The following is a 17,819-nucleotide window of genomic DNA, read 5'->3' as shown; positions in this document are numbered from 1 at the left end:
CGCCCCCAGGGCCTGAGTCTGGGTGGGGAGGGCAGTATCCCTGGGAGGTCCGCCGGTAGAGCCTGTTGTCAGGCCTGAAGGACCACACACAGGATTTTAGCCTGGAGCTGACGCCTCAGCCCCCTTCTGAACCCCTTCCACAGGTTCGTCCAGTCCCTGTGTCCTTTAGGCCCAAAGCTGGTCTCTCTGGCCCGAACCCCTCCCCTCTGTTCATGTCAACCCCTGTGCACCTGGGGGCCACACTTCTGAAACAGGGAATTCAGGGGCTGGTTGCCCTGAAATGAATACGGAACATACAGAGCTTACTTTTTCAATGGAGAGTAAAAAGGGTAAATTTGTCTTTTTAAAGTGGGTAACTTAAGTATCTTATTCCCCGGCCCTTGCAGGATGTTCCTATCAGGCCTGAGCCTACGGTGAGGGTAATGTAGCACTGGGCGGGGAGGGCGGGGGGCAAAGATGCAGCCTGGGATCCCCACCCTAGGGGCCAAGATGGAGGAGACCTGCCCTTGGCGGATGGGAAGGAAGGTGACCCAGACACTGCAGAACTCTCGCTCAACGTCAGGGACTTGGCTCCACGCAGGTGTCAGACAGGTTCCTGGCCAAGAAAGTCACACTGAAGCTTCCCAGGGCCAAGGAGCTCAGGTATCCCAGGACGCAGACTACCAGGATGTATCTGGGCTCAGAATGTGAGCCTCTGGCAGTGGATGGGGGAGAGGTTCCCAGCCAGACCCCGCAGACAGAGTCACTTGGATCAGGAGCAAATGGGAAAGATGCAGAGGCCCTGACACCAGCCAACACCTCAGTCTCCTCCCAGGTGCAATGGCCTTGAAAGCCAGGACCACAGTGAGGGATGAGGGCAAGTCTGTGGACGCAGCTACAGTGCACACGACTCATGTGGTTTGCTGGGGGGCAGGTGGCCGTGTTGGGACGGCCAGTGAAGAGTAAGGAGCAGAGGAAGCTCGGGGTGAGGGAGATGACGCAGCTGAGTCCAGCCGTTGGCCTTGACTGGGGGAGTCTCCGTGCTTCACAAAGACCACCGGCACCACAGCTGTGAGAGCAGAGAAGGAAAGAGCTGTGCTGACCACAGCCATCCCCAGAGGGTCCTCCAAAGCCAGAAGGGCCCAGCTTTGGTTTGGGAGCCAGTGGCCTCTCGCTGTTTCTGTGCTGCCCAGCTGGACTATGCATGCACTGGTCTGCATCTGATGAGAAAAGCCGAGACGCTGTGTGTCGGGCTCAGGAATTCTCACAGATTCCCAGCACCAAGAGAGCAGACACGCTGGAGTGTTTCTCTACCCACACAGAGCGATGGGGAAGCTCTCGTGCATAATTTTAGGTTTACACTGCCCACACCCTTATGGTTTTATGGAAAAAAATAGTATTTTCTCTCATTGTACAAGGAGGGTATTTTTTCCGTTGTTTCTCACAGGAAACTCAGATTCTTAGCCATGTAAATATCATTTCCCATGGCGATGTCCTCCTGGCCCGGCATTTCTCCTACCTTCTGAGGCTAATTGGTTTTTGAAAAACTCCTGAGTATTTGATGAGAGGCAGAAATTTTTTTGAGCTTGTTAGCTACAATATGTTATTGTGGTTTTGTAGGAAATCATACGTACTTTTTTTTTTTTTGAGACGGAGTCTCACTCTGTCGCCCAGGCTGGAGTGCAATGGTGCGATCTTGGCTCACCGCAAGCTCCGCCTCCCGGGTTCACGCCATTCTCCTGCTCAGCCTCCCAAGTAGCTGGGACTGCAGGCGCCCGCCACCACGCCTGGCTGATTTTTTTTGTATTTTTAGTAGAGATGGGGTTTCACCGTGTTAGCCAGGATGGTCTCGATCCCCTGACCTCGTGATCCGCCCGCCTCGGCCTCCCAAAGTGCTGGGATTACAGGCATGAGCCACTGCGCCCGGCCATGTACTTTGTTTTTTAGAGACAGGGTCTCATTCTGTTGCCCAGGCTGGAGGGCAGTGGTGCAGTTACTGCTCACTGCAGGCTTGACCTCCCAGGCTCAAGTGATCCTCCCGCCTCAGCCTCCTGAGCAGCTGGGACTACAGGCGCCACCACCGCACCCACTGTTGTGGTTACTTTTCTTATAGGTGCATACTGAAGTATTTAGGAGTGAAATTTTGTGATGTCTGCAACTTACAATATTTCATAACACAAAAACATGAATCAAACATGGCAAAATATTAGTGGCTGTTAAGTCTATGTGCTGTGTATGTGGGGATCACTAAGCTACTCTTTGAAAAATTTTATCTTAAGTCAAAAAAGTAAAACTCTGCCTGAGAAAATTGTCCTAAGTTCAAAATGTCATTACCTTTACTTTTAGTGGGACAATATTTATTTATTTATTTATTTTTGAGAAGGACTCTCGCTCTATTGCCCAGGCTGGAGTGCAGTGGCATGATCTTGGCTAACTGCAACCTCCGCCTCCCGGGTTCATGCCGTTCTCCTGCCTCAGCCTCCTGAGTAGCTGGGATTACAGGCACCTGCCACTATGCCCGACTAATTTTTGTATTTTTAGTAGAGACGGAGTTTCACCGTGTTGGCCAGGCTGGTCCCGAACTCCTGACCTCAGGTGATCCACCCGCCTCGGCCTCCCAAGGTGCTGGGACTGTAGACGTGAGCCACTGTGCCCGGCCACATTATTTAAACTTTTAACGTTAGTTATTAGGACCTGATGCAAGAAGGCAGTGTTTCCTTGACTTCACACGGCAGTGGTGTGGCCTGTGGCCTTCTGGACCGCGTTGGTGATGGGGATTTGGGGGTCTGTGAGCCCCCAGGGTTGGTCTGGGTGTTTTCCCAGAGGCTTGTTGAGCCCCAAGCCTGAATGTCTGCCCCCCGTGCTCTCAGCTGCTGACCACCTCCTACGACGGGAAGAGGCACGTTGTCTGCAATGTAGGGAATCTTTGTTCTTCAGTCTCCCGCTGCGTATTTTCAGGAGCTGGACAGCTCCCAGGTCTCACCCTTCGCCTCTTGACTTCCCATTTCTGAGACGTAACGAGCTGCGGCATTTTGTTAGCCTTGTTTTGAACAGTTGTGATTTGTTGGATCTAAGCCTAGTTTTGTTTGTTGTTTTTACTTTGAGTTGCTGTTTTATAAGCAAGCAGCCTAGTTTAGACATTTTAATGGCATTACAAGGACAGGGAATCTCCAGGAAGAATGAACAGACCAGGCAAGGCATGTGGTGAGGGCAATGCACAGCAGAGGGAAGCTTAGGTTATTTGGAATTATGAGGTTCCAGCAATGGAATTTATGAATGAATTAGCCCAGTGAATGAATAGATGATGACCGAGTAAACAAGACTTACCTGTGATTCCATGGCCCTCGCCTGGGGTCAGGGCAGGGTGGGTGTGGACGGGAGGGTGTCGCTGCAGGTGCTCACCTGTCTGGCTGGAAACCTCCCCCCGCCCACACGTGGACAAGCAACACAGCTTCCCTGCAGGGGTTTCCTGAGTCCAGGGCCACACCGCAGGCTGCACCTCAGGGAATCCACAACACAACATGAGAGATTTTTGTCATAACTTTGAGCAATATGTACAGCAGTTGAGATATCTAATAGAAAAGGTAATAGTATGCTTTTGGAGGGGTGTGGGTGTTCTTCTTTTTTGAGACAGGGTCTGGCTCTGTCGCCCAGGCATGACTGCAGTGGTGCAATCACTGCTCACTGCAGCCTTGACCTCCCAGGCTCAAGCGATCCCCCCGCCTCAGACTCCCGAGTAGCGGGAAGTATAGATGTACGCCACCATGCCCGGCTAATTTTTATATTTTTTTTGATAGAGACTGGGGTTCTGCCATGTTGCCCAGGCTGGTCTCGAATTCCTGGTCTCAAGCAATCCTCCTGCCAGCCTCCCAGAGTGCTGGAATTACAAGCGTGAGCCACTGTACCTGGCCAGTAGTACGGTTTTTCTAAAGACAAAATGATTTTCAAATTATGAATGGATGGAACAGTAGCTAAATGAAATTAAACCCCATGTTAGGAAAGAAACGTCACATGCCAATGCTTACTGAGAGGCAGATGGCACAACTGATCTTTGAAGGCTCATGTGGAATTGATAATACTTTGCTAAATTCTCCAGCCCTATTTCAGATTAAAAGACTTACATTTTGTAATCAATCAATTAATTAATTGATAAAACATCCTAGTCCACATCCTGACCTGATCTATTATAAACATTTGAAAGCACCTTCCTCTAGACGTTGGACGATGAGTTGAAACTCCTAGACAGTTATGCAGGTGGTTTATGGTATTTGTGGACATTGAAACGCAGGGAGGGCGTGACTTCTTATGTCGGAGCTTAAACGTTAAAGCCACCCCGTGAATCCAGTGGCTCCCTGTTGCCTTCTGCTCTGTGGTCAATTCTGGACCCCATGGAGACTGAGACACAAACTGCCACCTTCAGAAACTTTGGTCCCCCCGAAAAGTCCTCACAGTTCAGAATGTCACGTCCTGCCAGGTGTTTTCTTCCCTTGGAGGAGACGTGCCCCCGGCGTATAGTTAGCCCGGCTGCCGCTCAGGAGGAGACGTGCCCCCGGCGTATTGTTAGCCTGGCTGCTGCTCAGGTGGGAGAGCAGCAGAGAGAGATGCATTGCCACGTAATGGAACATGAATTCCAACAATGAAACAACCATGGTGAAAAACACATTTGGAATATTTTAGCTGCTGGCTCTATGGAAAATCAACTCTAAAAAGACAAGTATTTATATCGAGGAAGACAGAATTCTGTGACTACGATAAAAGATAATATGTGAGACACTTGGCAAAATTTTACACATCAAAATGCTCACACATATGTGTGTCAATGTTAATGGAAATGCCAGCCACACTTTGGATCTTGAGATCAGGAGGCCCTCATGGCACCCTGTGAATGTGAGAACTTAGCTTCAATCCCAGCTACTGCAGACGGGGCTGGGTCACCTGCGTGGTCACAGCCTCTGCGCCTCATATTCTTTGTCTGAATTACAGAGGCAGAGGTAATCTTCCCAAGGCGGTCCAGGCTTCGCTGAGATGAGTTATGCAGATCTATCAGCAGAATGACTTGGACAGGGAGAGGTTCCATAACTGTCTTCTTTCCAGAGTCACTCAGAGCCATTGTGAGTGAGACTGGAAAGTAGCCCACTGGGAAAGGAGGCTGGGCTAGCCCCGAGTGCCCATGTGCAGGGAGGAGGTGACCTGGAGCCCTGTCCTCCATTGGAGCAAACGTCTCACATCTACTAGTTGAAATGGAGGCCTTGATCCACAAGGAGACACATGCAGATGCACCTTTAACCCCAGAGAAGGACACCAGTGCCTGTCACCCGGGCTCTTGTGGGCCTTGTAAGGATGATATAGTTGCAATCAGTAAGGCCAATAAATTACAGATTCTGAGGACAAGAGACAGCATTGGAGCTGGGGTCATACAGAAGAGTTACCTGTGGGAAGAGATGCGGCCGCCAGATCCCAGATCTATTCTCATGAGAAGCGTTTCATGGAAGGGGTTGGCCGTGGCATGCCTGGGATAGTCACAGGGTTTACTGACTAGAAACTGTTGGAACAAGAAATTCCACATCTCTGAAGTGAAAAAGCAAATGTCCCATGGAGAGTGTCCAGAAAGAGATCTTGGCCAGGCGCGGTGGCTTACACCAGTAATCAGAACATTTTGGGAGGCCGAGGCGGGTGGATCACCTGAGGTCAGGAGTTCAAGACCAGCCTGGCCAACATAGTGAAAGTCTGTCTCTACTAAAAATGCAAAAATTAGCAGGGCATGGTGGTGGGTGCCCGTAATTCCAGCTACTCAGGAAGCTGAGGCAGGAGAATCGCTAGAACCCGGGAGACAGAGGTTGCAGTGAGCCGAGATCACGCCACTGCACTCCAGCCTGGAGCGAGGCTCCATCTCAAAAAAAAAAAAAAAAAAAAAAAAAAAAGCAAGAAGTCTTCCTAGGTTTGGTGGCTCATGCCTGTAAACCCAGCGCTTTGGGAGGCTGAGGCAGGAGGATCGCTTGAGCCCAGGAGTTTGGGGCTGCAATGAGCTACAGTGGGTACCGCTGCACTCCAGCCTGGGTGACACAGTGAGACTCTGTCTCAAAAAAAATAAACAAAAAAAAAGAAGTCTTTCCAATGGATGTGAAATCAGCAGTGTCCCCTCTGGAGTTTGAAGTTTGCCATATCGATTGACTCTTACTTCCAGAAAATATTTCTCTATAGCATGAAATACTGTTTGACAGCATTTTACGCACAATAGAACTTCTTTCAAAATTGGAGTCTATCCTGTCAAATCCTGCTGCTGCTTATCAGCTAAGTTTATGTAATATTCTTTTTTTTTTTTTTTTTTTTTTTGAGACAGGGTCTTGCTCTGCTGCCCTTGCTGGAGTGCAGTGGCGTGATCATAGCTCACTGCAGCCTTGACCTCCCTGGCTCAAGCTATCCTCCTGCCTCAGGCTCTCAAGTAGCTGGGGCTACCTGTGCAAACCACCACACCCAGCTAATCTGTAAAAAAATTTTCTGTAGAGACAGGTCTTCCTATGTTGCCCAGGTTGGTTTTGAACTCCTGGGCTCAAGCGATCCTCCTGCCTTGGCATCCCAAAGTGCCAAGATTACAGGTGTGAGCCACTGCGCCCGGCTAGGTTATGTAATAATCTAAATCCTTTGTTGTTATTTCAACAATGTTCACAGCTTCTTCACCAGGAGAATATTTCGTCTCAAGAAACTACTTTGCTAATCCATAGGAAGCACATCCTCATCCGTTCAGTTTTATCATGAGATTGTAGCAATGTACTCACATCTTCAGCTTCCACTTCTAATTCTCTTGCTATTTTCACTACAACTGTGGCTCCTTCCTTCTCTGAAGTCTTGAATCCCCCAAAGTCATTCGTGAGGGTTGGAGTCCAGTCCTTTTAAACTCCTGTTAATGTTGAGATTCTTGACCTCCTCACATGAATTAATCATAAATGTTCTTAGTGGCATCTAGAAGGTGCATCCCTTTCAGAAGGTTTTCAATTTGCTTTGCCCAGATCCATCAGGGGAATCATTATCTGTAGCAGCTGTAGCCTTACAATATGTATTTCTTGGCCAGGTGTGGTGGCTTATGCCTGGAATCTCAACACTTTGGGAGGCCGAAGCGGGTGGATCACCTGAGGTCAGGAGTTTGCGACCAGTCTGGCCATGGTCTCACCATGGTCTGGACATGGTGAAATCCTGTCTCTACTAAAAATACAAAAACTAGCCAGGCGTGGTGGTGGGTGCCTGTAGTCTCAGCTACTCGTGAGGCTGAAACAGGAGAGAATCACTTGAACCTAGGAGGCGGAGGTTGCAGTGAGCCAAGATCATGCCACTGCACTCCAGCCTGGGCAACAACAGACTGAGCAATAGGTCTCAACAGTCAGATTAAAATATTCCATAAACTAGACATTAAACAGATGTGCTGTCACCTAGGCTTGTTGTTCTATTTATAGAGCACAGACACAGTAGATTTTGCATCATTCTTAAGGGCCCTGGGTCAGAATGGTAAATGACCATTGGCTGTAAGTCACATTAGCCCCTAAGAACAGAGTCAACCTGTTCTCTAAAGCTTCGAAGCCAGGCATTGACTTCTCTTCCCCGGCTATGAAAGTCCTAGTAAGAAGGCTATTTTGTCTATGTTGAAAATATGTTGTTTAGGCCAGGCGCGGTGGCTCATGCCTGTACTCTCAGCACTTTGGGAGGGCGAGGTGGGTGGATCACAAGGTCAGGAGTTGGAGACCAGCCTGACCAATATGGTGAAACCCCGTCTCTACTAAAAATACAAAAATTAGCTGGGCGTGGTGGCGCGTGCCTGTAATCCCAGCTACTCAGGAGGCTGAGGCAGGAGAATTGCTTGAACTAGGGAGGCGGAGGTTGCAGTGAGCCGAGACTGCGCCACTGCACTCCAGCCTGGGCAACAGAGAGACACTCCATCTCAAAGAAAAAAAAAAAGAAAAGAAAATATGTTGTTTAGTGTAGCCATTTTCATCAACCGTCTTAGCTGGATCTGGATAACTTGCCTGCAATTTCTACATCAGCGCTTGCTGCTTCTCTTTTTTTTTTTTTTTTTTTTTTTTGAGACGGAGTCTCACTCTGTCGCCCAGGCTGGAGTGCAGTGGCGCCATCTCGGCTCACTGCACACCCGGCACAGGGTCATGCTTGAGCAGGGAGTTAACGCCACTTCCTTAATGGCTGAGTGTCCACTACAATTATTTGGGATTTTTCTGCATAGGAGATTTCTCTCACCCACTTTTGTTTACGTGTGTAATCATTGACCTATGCCAGTGTGGACACCTGGAGAGTTATTTCAAGTTTTGGTTACAATTCAGTACTACAGGATTTTGTTGCTTTATTCATTCCCATTTGTGTCATTGGGAGCTCTTGTTGGCTCTGGTTTTTCTTTGTCATAATCTGTGTGTGTGTGTGCTTGTGTGTATGTGTGTGTGTGTGGGGTGAGAGTGTGTGTGTCTGTGTTCTGAGCAGTTCCTTACTTTTTGATACTTCAGGATCATCCAGGCTCATGTTTTTACTGCCTTAGTTTTAGTGAAGCCATTTCTTCAAAGAGCCCTGGTTCCTTTCACTGTAGAATCGCATGAAAAACTATATTTAGGAGCTGAATGCACTCATTGCCCCTGCGGCCTCAATGCCTTTAGGTCTTACAGCTGACGTGCCAGGAAACACCTGTGTGTTTCCAACCTATGTGGACCGCCTGATTATCGAGATTTCTATGTGGAGCTGTCGGTGTCTGGATTAGGCTAAGTATGAGTTGATGCTGATGTTGCCCCTCTGGTTTATTATCACATGGATCATTGTAGCCTCCCTTTGCTAATCTGTAACCTCCCACCTCAGCAGTGAGAGACCTGCTTCCCATCATCTGCCACTTACATAAGTCACTGCTCCATTCCAGGTGGAGATACAATGGTTCAATAATTGTTTTTGTTTTGTTTTTGTTTTGAGACGGAGTCTCACTCTGTCACCAGGCTTGAGTGCAGTGGCGCGATCTCGGCTCACTGCAACCTCCGCCTCCCGGGTTCAAGTGATTCTCCTGCCTCAGCCTCCCAAGTAGCTGGGATTACAGGAACGCGTCACCACGCTCAGCTAATTTTTGTATTTTTAGTAGAGACAGGGTTTCACCATGTTGGTCAGGATTGTCTCGATCTCTTGACCTCGTGATCCACCCGCCTCGGCCTCCCAAAGTGCTGGGATTATAGGCGTGAGCCACCGCGCCTGGCCTCCAGATTCCACTAAATTCTAAAGAGACCTTTCAGGTCAGTACGTTTTGCCCTGCAGGGATTTTGTTTTAATCTTTTGTGATACAGTTAGATTCTTGGTCACATTCTGTGTTCCATCCAGGGATATTCCCACATATTAAATAATGTAATTCCACTTGCATACATTATGATTTACTCTGGGCTTTAAAATTCTATCACTTTTCACAAGTGGACAGGGACAGGTATCCACAGTTAAAGTATCACATGGAGTACTTCAAATCCCCACCGCCATGAATCCCGTGTCACCACTGATCAGTTTGCTATCTCTGTTGTTTTGCCTTTCCAGCATGTCATATAAGTGGGGACGTACAGCCTCTGCATCCTGGCTCTCTCATGAAGCAGTGTGCCTGTGAGGTCCATCCGGGTAGCGTGGATGGATAGGTCATGCCTTTCTTTCTCTCTCATGAAGCAGTGTGCCTGTGAGGTCCATCCGGGTGGCGTGGGTGGATAGGTCATGCCTTTCTTTCTCTCTCATGAAGCAGTGTGCCTGTGAGGTCCATCCGGGTGACGTGGGTGGATAGGTCATGCCTTTCTCTCTCATGAAGCAGTGTGCCTGTGAGGTCCATCCAGGTGACGTGGGTGGATAGGTCATGCCTTTCTTTCTCTCTCATGAAGCAGTGTGCCTGTGAGGTCCATCCGGGTAGCGTGGGTGGATAGGTCATGCCTTTCTTTCTCTCTCATGAAGCAGTGTGCCTGTGAGGTCCATCCGGGTGGCGTGGGTGGATAGGTCATGCCTTTCTTTCTCTCTCATGAAGCAGTGTGCCTGTGAGGTCCATCCAGGTAGCATGGGTGGATAGGTCATGACTTTCTTTCTCTCTCATGAAGCAGTGTGCCTGTGAGGTCCATCCAGGTGGCGTGGGTGGATAGGTCATGACTTTCTCTCTCATGAAGCAGTGTGCCTGTGAGGTCCATCCGGGTGACGTGGGTGGATAGGTCATGCCTTTCTTTCTCTCTCATGAAGCAGTGTGCCTGTGAGGTCCATCCAGGTGGCGTGGGTGGATAGGTCATGACTTTCTCTCTCATGAAGCAGTGTGCCTGTGAGGTCCATCCAGGTGGCATGGGTGGATAGGTCATGACTTTCTCTCTCATGAAGCAGTGTGCCTGTGAGGTCCATCCAGGGAGCGTGGGTGGATAGGTCATGACTTTCTCTCTCATGAAGCAGTGTGCCTGTGAGGTCCATCCAGGTGACGTGGGTGGATAGGTCATGCCTTTCTTTCTCTCTCATGAAGCAGTGTGCCTGTGAGGTCCATCCGGGTGACGTGGGTGGATAGGTCATGCCTTTCTTTCTCTCTCATGAAGCAGTGTGCCTGTGAGGTCCATCCAGGTGGCGTGGGTGGATAGGTCATGACTTTCTCTCTCATGAAGCAGTGTGCCTGTGAGGTCCATCCAGGTGGCATGGGTGGATAGGTCATGACTTTCTCTCTCATGAAGCAGTGTGCCTGTGAGGTCCATCCAGGGAGCGTGGGTGGATAGGTCATGACTTTCTCTCTCATGAAGCAGTGTGCCTGTGAGGTCCATCCGGGTAGCGTGGGTGGATAGGTCATGCCTTTCTTTCTCTCTCATGAAGCAGTGTGCCTGTGAGGTCCATCCAGGTGGCGTGGGTGGATAGGTCATGACTTTCTCTCTCATGAAGCAGTGTGCCTGTGAGGTCCATCCGGGTAGCGTGGGTGGATAGGTCATGCCTTTCTTTTGCTGAATAGCATTCCATTGCACCGCATACTTCAGTTTGGTTATGCATTCAGCTACTGAAGAATGTCATGATTCCTTTAATTTTTGGCTATTATGAATAGTGCTTCTATACATGTGTGTGCTGGTTTTTACTTGGACATAATTTTTCAAGGCAGTTGTCTAAATACCTAAGAAGGAGATTGTTGGATCAGATGGTGAGACTTGTTTAGTTTTTGGAAAAACTGCTGAAGTGACTGTACCCTTATGCCTTCCCCCAGCAATGAATGAGACCTCCTATTGCAATTGCTACTGTTCTTTAGATTTTAGCCATTTTAATAGATGTACAGTACTATCTCATTTAATCTGCTTTTCCCTCAGGACAAGTTTGTTGAGAATTAATTAATTTGGATGCTTATTTGGCATCTGTGCATCTTCTTTGCTGAGGTGTCTTTTCAGATCTTCACATATTTTCAATTGGGTTGTTCATCTAATTCTTTTTGAGTTTTAGAGGTTTTTTTTAAAAAAAAATATTTTGCAGACAAGTCCTTTTTCGGATGTGTTTCCCAAATATTTTCTTTTTTTTTCTTGAGACAGGGTCTTACTCCATCACCCAGGCTGGAGTGCAGTGGTGCGATCTCAGCTCACTGCAACCTCTGCCTCCTGGGTTCAAGCAATTCTCCTGCCTCAGCCTCCCGAGTAACTGAGATTACAGGCGTGTGCCACCACATCCAGCTAATTTTTTTTGTTTTGTTTTGTATTTTTAGTAGAGACGGGGTTTCACCATGTTGGCCAGGCTAGTCTCGAACTCCTGACCTCAAATGATCCACCCACTTTGGCCTCCCAGAGTGCTGCGATTATGGGTATGAGCCACCTTGCCCGGCTGTTTCCCAAATATTTTCTATCAATCAGTCTGTGAATTGCTTTTTTGTTCTCTTAACCAGAGCAGCCATTTTAAATTTTAATAAAGTCCCCGTTATTGTTTTGTTTTCTTTTGTGGGTTGGCTTTTGGTGTATTGCATCTAGAAACTCATCACCCAAACCAAGGCCATGCAGATATTTTTCTCGGCTTTCTTCTATAACTTTCACAACTTTGCACTTGAAAATTTAAGTCTATGGACTATTTTGAGTGAATTTTTGGATAAAATACAAGGTTTTTGTCTCCATTCATTTCTTTCCCCTATGGTTTGCAATTGTTCTGTTGTCTTTTGTGGAACAGACTTCTCTTTCTCCACTGAGTTGCCTTTGTCCGTTTGACAAAGTCAGTTGGCTTGAGTCTGTTTGGGGGCTCTCTGTTCTGTCCCACTTATCTATGTGTCTAACCGCTTCACCACTGCCACGCTCTCTTCATTACTGTGGCTTTAGGGTGAGTGTTCAGATCCAGATGTGTGAGGTCTTTAACTTTGTTCTCCTTCAGTCTTATTTCATCCATTCTGGGTTTAGGAACAGTTTGTCGATATCTTTGCCTGGAATTTAACTGGGATTTGGCTGAATCTATAGATCGATTTGGAAAGAATTGTCACCTTCACAATAATGAGTGTACTTCTCCTAAATAAGGAACATCTCTGCATTTACTTATACCTCTTTTGGTTTCTCTCAACTGTGATTCATGGTTTTCCGAATGCATGTTTGCACACCTTTTGTTACGCTGATACTTAATGGATTCAGCTTCAGGGGTGCTATTGTAAATGGTATTTTAATATTTCTAGTTCCAATTATTTCCATCCATTATTGGTGATATGAAGAAACTCAACTGACTTTTGCCTACTGGACATCTTTTTTAGTTTTTATTTTATTTATTTTATTTTTTTGAGACGGAGTTTCACTCTTGTTGCCCAGGCCGGAGTGCAATGGTGCAGCTCACCGAAACCTCCGCCTCCTGGGTTCAAGCGATTCTCCTGCCTCAGACTCCCGAGTAGCTGGGATTACAGGCATGCGCCACCACGCCCAGCTAATTTTGTATTTTTAGTAGAGACAGGGTTTCTCCACGTTGGTCAGGCTGGTCTCAAACTCTCGACCTCGGGTGATCCGCCCGCCTCGGCCTCCCAAAGTGCTGGGTTTACACGCGTGAGCTACCGCGCCCGGGCCATCTTTTTTAGTTTTTAAAATCTCCATCCGTTCCGATCAAGGCACGGGATGGTGGCCTCGATTTCAGTTGACATTTCCGAAATCACGGCCTGCAGTCATCCGAACGCTGATTTTCAGAGACTCCCCAGGACTGCCGCGAGGGGGCGCCCGGCTCCCGCCCAACCTGGAGCACGCGCGGGAACCGCGGCGGATCCGCACTCGTCGCCCCGGGGCGTCGACCGGGAAGACGGAGCCACGGTCTCTTCAGGACCCGCCCGGGAGCGGCCGCGGTTCGGGACACCCGGTCACCAGGTGAGAGGAGGAGGAAAAGGCGTCCTGTCCGCGGCCGCGAGTGCTGAGGAGGGAGCGCTGCCGTGGGCCTTACTTCCCTGTCACGGTCTACGCGGCGTGTTGTAAAACGGTGTCCCTTCAGCGGGGCGGGAACTGCGCGTCCTGACAGCGCAGCGCAGCGCAGCGCAGCGCAGCGTGGCCTCCGGATCTGCGCTGGTTCCTGGGGAGAGATCCTGGCGCCGAGAAAGGAGCAACGCGAGCGGCGCCATCGGGACGGCGCGGGTGATGGCTGGGGACCGGCCGGCGCTGCGGAGTCGCCAGCGCTTTCATTCGTGTTGTAATAGCTCATTTGTCTCACAGCACTGAAGTAGTTGAATCAGTATGGAAATATTTAGCAATAGGCATATTCTAACTAGAAACGTAAAGTTTAAATGCATTGTTTATACCTCCCCACACGAAATAACATGTACCAAATCCTAATACAGACGTATGTGCAGATTTAGTTTGAGCATTTGGGGAGGGGATATGATGGCTGCGACCCTTTCCTACACCTGCCAGAGCTGTTCACTGTTACATCCCTGTCCAGGACGTTCTTATGCCAGCATTGTATGTTTCCAACCTAATAATTCCCTAAGCTGGACTGTCTCCATTATTCTTTCAACAAAGGCAAAACAGCTTTTTCCATTGTTCTGACAGTATATTTAACGTGAGCATACTTTATGAGATGATACATTTGTTCATGATGGGCTACTCCTGTTATACAATCAAATATATTTTGATTCTGACACTCTCAATTGTAGTTCAAGTCCAGCGTATTTTCCGAGGAGCATTAATCATTCATTGTATATTTTATTACATAAATAAGGCATGGGTCGTCTTTTATCATTAACTTCATGACTAGCTATATTGACATTATAATTACTTACAAGTTCAACTAAATTTGGAAACATTTCAGAGTTTGGGCTTCCAATAATTATTTGTGATTCTCTAACAGGTAAATTATTTTTTCCCATAAATCCTAGCAACATCTAAAATCACTCAGAATATCCTGCCATTTTTGTTTCTCTAGTTTCATCACATTCTGCAAAGTATCATTGAGGAAATTGACTTTGAATATTCTTAAACTCTTCTGTTTTAGAAAATATCACAATGAAACATTAAATTATCATGGTTACAAATTCTATTCACTTTCTATCTTTGAATACTTTTCCCCCAGTGGCCAATATTGCATTCTGTTGTATTATTGCTAAAAAGCATGCATGGAAAACAAAGACAGGGATATTTTAGAGAAAGTGATCCAGTCACGATGAATCGATTTGCCATTGAAACATTTTTTTTTTTAAATCTTGGATACTAAGGAACTTTTTTAAACATTCTTTTGACAATGTTCAACCATGAATTGAAATAGAGTCTCTAAAATGAATTTTTTTCCTGGTTGTCTAAAAGGCGACCGACCACCTTTTTAGAGAGTGAACCCAAGACACAGCCACAGTACCAGAAAAAATTATGTGAAGTAAGTTTATACATCTATGTTATTACTTTAACATAAAACATGTAGAGGCATTTATTTGGAATTAGATATTAATCTGTATGCTTTAATTTTTATGTCATAAATGCTCTGATTAAAAGACAGGAATAGTTAACAGGGTAAATTACTAGTAATTACTAGTACAAATAATTAAGCAGGTGTTTGAAAAAATACAACACTTTTAAATTAAGTTTTATTTTAGAGTTGTTTTAGATTTATACAGAAATAACAAAGAAAACACAGATTTCCCATGTAGCTTCAACCCAGTTTCCTCTCTTATTAACATCTTCTATCAGTATGTCTCACGTCATTTGTCACAGTGAATGAACAAATGTTGATATGCTATTATTAACTGAAGCCCATATTTTATTTGGAGTTCCTCATGTTAGAAATGCTTGTTCCCCGGTGCTGTAAAGAAATAGCACTTGAACATAAATTTAATTTCCTCAGCAAGGCCGTTTTTTTACTTTCTGCATAAAGGGTACACTCGCCAGCAGTTTTACCACGAGAGTATCCAGAACAAAGGAGACAAGGTCATTTATAACCTGACGCATCCACCCTACTGCTGTGTCCGGTTTCCATTGGCTGAAACGGGACCCCACATTCTGTATTTGTTCTGATCTTCTAGCAACTTATAAATTTTTAAAAGAGGCAAAGGCAGAGGATAACAAAGGAAGGAAGAAGTAACTTGTGGAATGCTGTGAAAGGTAAAAACACCTTCAAATAAGGAAGAGGAAGAGGCTATAACCTAATGCTTGCTTGGACCAGTATAAGCATGTCAGGCAAATATTTAGGCTAAATTGTGGGCGCTAAGAACATACAGTACCTTGATTTCTTTATTACGGCCAGCAGATATTTAAGAATGTTAGCACAGATCTTTGAATAATTTTTACATCTAAGAGAAGTTACTATTTATTCCTAATTAGATGGGGAGGAAAGTCTTTGAAGAGGAACCTCAACTTTACTGTTTACACTTAGTTCTATCTTTCCCTACTCCAGGGTCGCACCCGGGATCCCACGTAACATTCGTTGTCACGACTCCTTAGGCTCTTCTTGGCTGTCACGGTTTCTCAGACTTTCCTTCTTCCAATGACCTTGACGGTGTTAAGGAGGACTGGTTAGGCGTTTTGTAGAATGTCTCCCATTGTTATTTACCTGGTGCTTTTCTGAGAAGTTGACTGGGGTTATGGGTTTGGGGGAAGCAGATCACAGAGGTGAAGTGCTATTCTTGTCACTTCATGGTGTCAAGGTGAATTATCACCATTGGTATTAACTGTGATCACCTGGCTGAACTAGTGTTTGTCCAGTTTCTCTACTGTGAAGTTACTTGTCCATATTGTATGTATTCTTCTGGAGGAAGTCACTATGCACAGCCCCCATTTAAGGAGTGGGATGTTAGCTCCACCTCTTTGATGGCTGAGTGTCTATATCAATTATTTGGAATTCTTTTGTAAAGGAGAATTCTATTCAACTTTATTTGCTTATGCACTTATTTGTATAAATGTGGACACATAGACAGTTACTTTAAGCTTTGGTTATTCAATACTGCAGTATTTTGTTGCTCAATTTGTTTCTGCTTTGGCCTTTGGGAGCTCTTTCCATTGGTTCTTTTTTCCTTTTGACATAATTTCATATTTTTTGAGTACTTTCTTTTGTTCTGGTATGTTAATTATCCTGGCTCATATATTTACTGTCCCAGTCCCTGTATTGGCCATTTCTTCAGAGAGCCCTCATTGCTTTCATTAGAAAACGCTATTAAAAATTTATGTTGGCCGGGCATGGCGGCTCCCACCTGTAATCCCAGCACTTTGGGAGGCCAAGGCAGGTGCATTACCTGAGGTCAGGAGTTCAACACAAGCCTGGCCAACATGGTCAAACCCTGTCTCTAGTAAAAATAGAAAAACTAGCTATGTGTGGTGGCGGGCGCCTTATAATCCCAGTTACTTGGGAGGCTGAGTCAAGAGAATCACTTGAACCTGGGAGGCATAGGTTGCAGTGTGCCAAGATCACACCATTGCACTCCAGCTTGGGCAACAAGACCGAAACTCTGTCTCAAAAAAAAAAAAAAAATGTTATGTCTGGCTGGGTATGGTAGCTCACACCTGTGCTCTTGGCACTTTGCGAGGCTAAGATGGGAGAATCCCTTGAGTCTAGGAGTTTGAGACCAACCTGGGCACCACAGGGAGACCCCATGTCTACAAACAATTTAAAAAATTAGCCAGGCATGGTGGTGCATGCCTATGGTCCCAACCTTGAGAGGCTGAAGTGGGAGGATTGCTTGAGCCCAGGAGGTCGAGGCTGCGGTGAGCCATGATTGCACCACTGCACTCCAGCCTGGGTGACAGAGCAAGACCCTGTCAAAAAATAATAATAATAATAATAAAAGAAAAGAAAAAAAAGTTCATTCCATTTGGCTTATGATTCTGGTGGCAGGAACATCCAAGATTGGGCAGCTGCATCTGGTGGGGCTTTATGGTGCCTCAACACATGGTGGAAAGCAGAAGGGGAGCCAGTGTGCACCTGAGATCACATGGCGAGGGAGAAAGCAAGAGAGAAACCAAGGAAGCCAGACTGTTTTTAACAGCCTGCTCTTGGCTGGGCGTGGTGGCTCACGCCTGTAATCCCAGCACCTGAGATCACATGGCGAGGGAGAAAGCAAGAGAGAAACCAAGGAAGCCAGACTCTTTTTAACAGCCTGCTCTTGGCTGGGCGTGGTGGCTCACGCCTGTAATCCCAGCACCTGAGATCACATGGCGAGAGAGAAAGCAAGAGAGAAACCAAGGAAGCCAGACTCTTTTTAACAGCCTGCTCTTGGCTGGGCGTGGTGGCTCACGCCTGTAATTCCAGCACTTTGGAAGGCCTAGGTGGGCAGATTACCTGAGGTCAGAAGTTTGAGACCAGCCTGGCCAACATAGCGGAACCCCATTTCTACTAAACATACAAAAATTAACTGGGCACTATGGCACATGCCTGTAATCACAGCTACTCAGGAGGTTGAGGCAGCCGAATTGCTTGAACCTGGG

At 46.8% G+C, this 17,819-nt stretch overlaps 1 pseudogene, besides 4 other annotated features; it reads right to left on the bottom strand.

Moving 5' to 3' along the window:
- On the bottom strand, positions 444-1,133 carry VN2R11P (vomeronasal 2 receptor 11 pseudogene; annotated as a pseudogene).
- Positions 1,306-1,956: an enhancer, noted in NCBI's record as "H3K4me1 hESC enhancer chr19:278731-279381 (GRCh37/hg19 assembly coordinates)". NCBI's record gives its function as "activates a minimal SCP1, AML or CMV promoter by ChIP-STARR-seq in primed H9 embryonic stem cells {active_cell/tissue: H9 hESC(primed)}" and the evidence as "EXISTENCE:reporter gene assay evidence [ECO:0000049][PMID:30033119]".
- Positions 8,332-8,532: a silencer, noted in NCBI's record as "peak3201 fragment used in MPRA reporter construct". NCBI's record gives its function as "represses an SCP1 promoter by STARR-seq MPRAs in K562 erythroleukemia cells {active_cell/tissue: K562}" and the evidence as "EXISTENCE:reporter gene assay evidence [ECO:0000049][PMID:32103011]".
- Positions 13,084-13,163: a silencer, noted in NCBI's record as "silent region_9596". NCBI's record gives its function as "represses an Ori minimal core promoter by ATAC-STARR-seq in GM12878 lymphoblastoid cells {active_cell/tissue: GM12878}" and the evidence as "EXISTENCE:reporter gene assay evidence [ECO:0000049][PMID:35858748]".
- Positions 13,324-13,453: an enhancer, noted in NCBI's record as "active region_13552". NCBI's record gives its function as "activates an Ori minimal core promoter by ATAC-STARR-seq in GM12878 lymphoblastoid cells {active_cell/tissue: GM12878}" and the evidence as "EXISTENCE:reporter gene assay evidence [ECO:0000049][PMID:35858748]".

This window comes from Homo sapiens, chromosome 19, assembly GCF_000001405.40.
Source record: "Homo sapiens chromosome 19, GRCh38.p14 Primary Assembly".
NCBI classification, from domain to species: Eukaryota; Metazoa; Chordata; class Mammalia; order Primates; family Hominidae; genus Homo; species Homo sapiens.
Note: the sequence above shows the minus strand (reverse complement) of the source record. Positions and strands in the feature narration are given on the sequence as shown.